The sequence below is a fragment of the Homo sapiens genome, chromosome 4 (genome assembly GCF_000001405.40).
Source record: "Homo sapiens chromosome 4, GRCh38.p14 Primary Assembly".
NCBI classification, from domain to species: domain Eukaryota; kingdom Metazoa; phylum Chordata; class Mammalia; order Primates; family Hominidae; genus Homo; species Homo sapiens.
Window position 1 is genome coordinate 188,758,647 of NC_000004.12, and position 2,264 is coordinate 188,760,910.

Here is a 2,264-nt window from a genome sequence, read left to right on the forward strand (position 1 = left end):
AAATATTTTCTTTAGTTTTCAAGGGAATATCAGTTGTAGTAGGATATTTTGAAAGTAAAATTCTGGCAAAAAGTAAAATCTTTGATAGATACCAGTTCCCCAGTGAGGTTTATTGTAATCATAATCACAGTTGTGCTTTGTTTTATGAACTCATTCTGTATTACTTTATTAAGTCTTTAGCTGACTGTAAGAGTTTCCTTGGAGGTGTTTTCTCAACTATTTTGCTAGGAATTTGGCTTCAAGGTAATATTTATCCAACCCAGTCATAGACTGTCAAGTCTTCTACAAGGAATACAGGCTGCTTTCATATTGTCTAAAGTCTGTTGATAGGAAGTTAAAGTAAATTTTTTTTCTACAAAAGAAAGTGAATAGTGTTGTACATTCTTTAGTCCTCAGGGGTTGATACTGAAATTGGCCAATTATTTTATCCATGTGGAGAAATATTTTAATATAACCCAAAGATTATAATTAAGATACTGTGCATAAAATACTTTGAAATAATAATGTTGAGGGTCAGAATGAAATTTGTATTGTTAGTAAGATTTTTAAATGAAATATTTTAAATAGAAAAGTGGAGAAAAATATGAAACATATATCACAAAATTTAACAAATGTGAGAGCCTTGACATGTAAGCTTCAGCTATTTTTTTCATAAACAACTCAGACACAGTTCAAATCTTTTAAAAATTCCTCTCATTATATTTCTTCTCTTTCACACATTTGTGAAACTATTTTTTTCCAATTGTTTTAATAATACATTTTCTTATGTAGCTCCTTAGGAGGTTTTTAAGTTGTTAAATTTCATTTTAAATTATTTAATTTTTTTGACATTGACAAAATTGCATATATTTATGTATACAACATGATGGTTTGATATATGTATACATTGTAAAGTGGCTAAAAATAAAGATAATTAATATATGCATTACCTCACATACTTTTTTTTGTGCTGCGAATACATAAAATTTGCTGTAAGCAATTTTAAAGTATACAGTACATTGTTATGAACTATAGTCATTGGGATGTGCAGTAAGTGACTTCAGTATATTACTGTTATCTAACTGAATTTTGTGTTCTTTGACAAACATCTCCCCAGTATCCCCTTTCCCCAGCCTCTGGTGACCACCATTCTCTCTGCTTCTGTAAGTTCAACGTTTTTATTCCACATATAAGTGAGATCACACAGCATTTGTCTTTATGTGCCTGGCGTATTTCACTTAATGTAATGTCTTCCAGGTTGATCCATGGTGTTGTCAATAATAGGGTTCCTCATCTTTTTAAGGCTGAATAGTATTCCATTGTACCCATACCACATTTTCTCTTTCTTTCTTTTTCTGATTTCAATGGTTTGCTTATTTATTTATTTATTTATTTTCTTTAACTTTTATTTTAGTTTCAAGGGTACATGTGCAGATTTGTTACATGGGTAAGTTGCATGTCACAGAGGTTTGGGGTACCTGTCACTCAGGTAATCAACATAGTACCCAATAGGTAGCTTTTCAATCCTCACCTTCCTCCCCACTTCCAGCCCTCAATGATGCCCTGGTGTTTATTGCTCCTTTTTCTGTGTCCATGTGTACTCAGTGTTTAGCTCCCACTTATAAATGAAAACATGCAGTGTTTGTTTTTCTGCTCCTGTATTAGTTTGCTTAGGATAATGGCCTCCAGTTCCATCCATGTTGCCATAAAGGACACAGTCCTGTTCTTTTTTATGGCTCTAGAGTATTCCATGGTGTATATATACCACATTCTCCTTTTCCAGTGCAATGTTGATGGCTGTCCAGGTTGAGTCTTTGCTACTGTGAACGCTGCTGCAGGGAATGTAGGGATGCATGTGTCTTTATAGTAGAACAATTTATATTCCTTTGGGTACATACCCAGTAATGGGATTGCTGGGTCAAATGGTAGTTGTTTTCAGTTATTTGAGAAATCTCCCAATGCTTTCCTCAGTGTCTGAACTAATTTATACTCCCATCAGCAGTGTGTATGTTTTCTCGTTACTCCACAACCTTGCCAGCATCTGTTATTTTTTGACTTTTTGATAATAGCCATTCTGACTGGTGTGAGATGGTATCTCATTGTGGTTTTGATGTGCATTTCCCTAATGATTAGTAATATTTAGCATTTTTTCATATGCTTGTTGGCTGTATGTATGTCCTCTTTTGAGAATTGTCTGTCCATGTCCTTTGCCCACTTTCTAACAGGTTTTTTTTTTTTTTTGCTTGTTGATTTAAGTTCCTTATAGATTCTGGATATAAGACCTT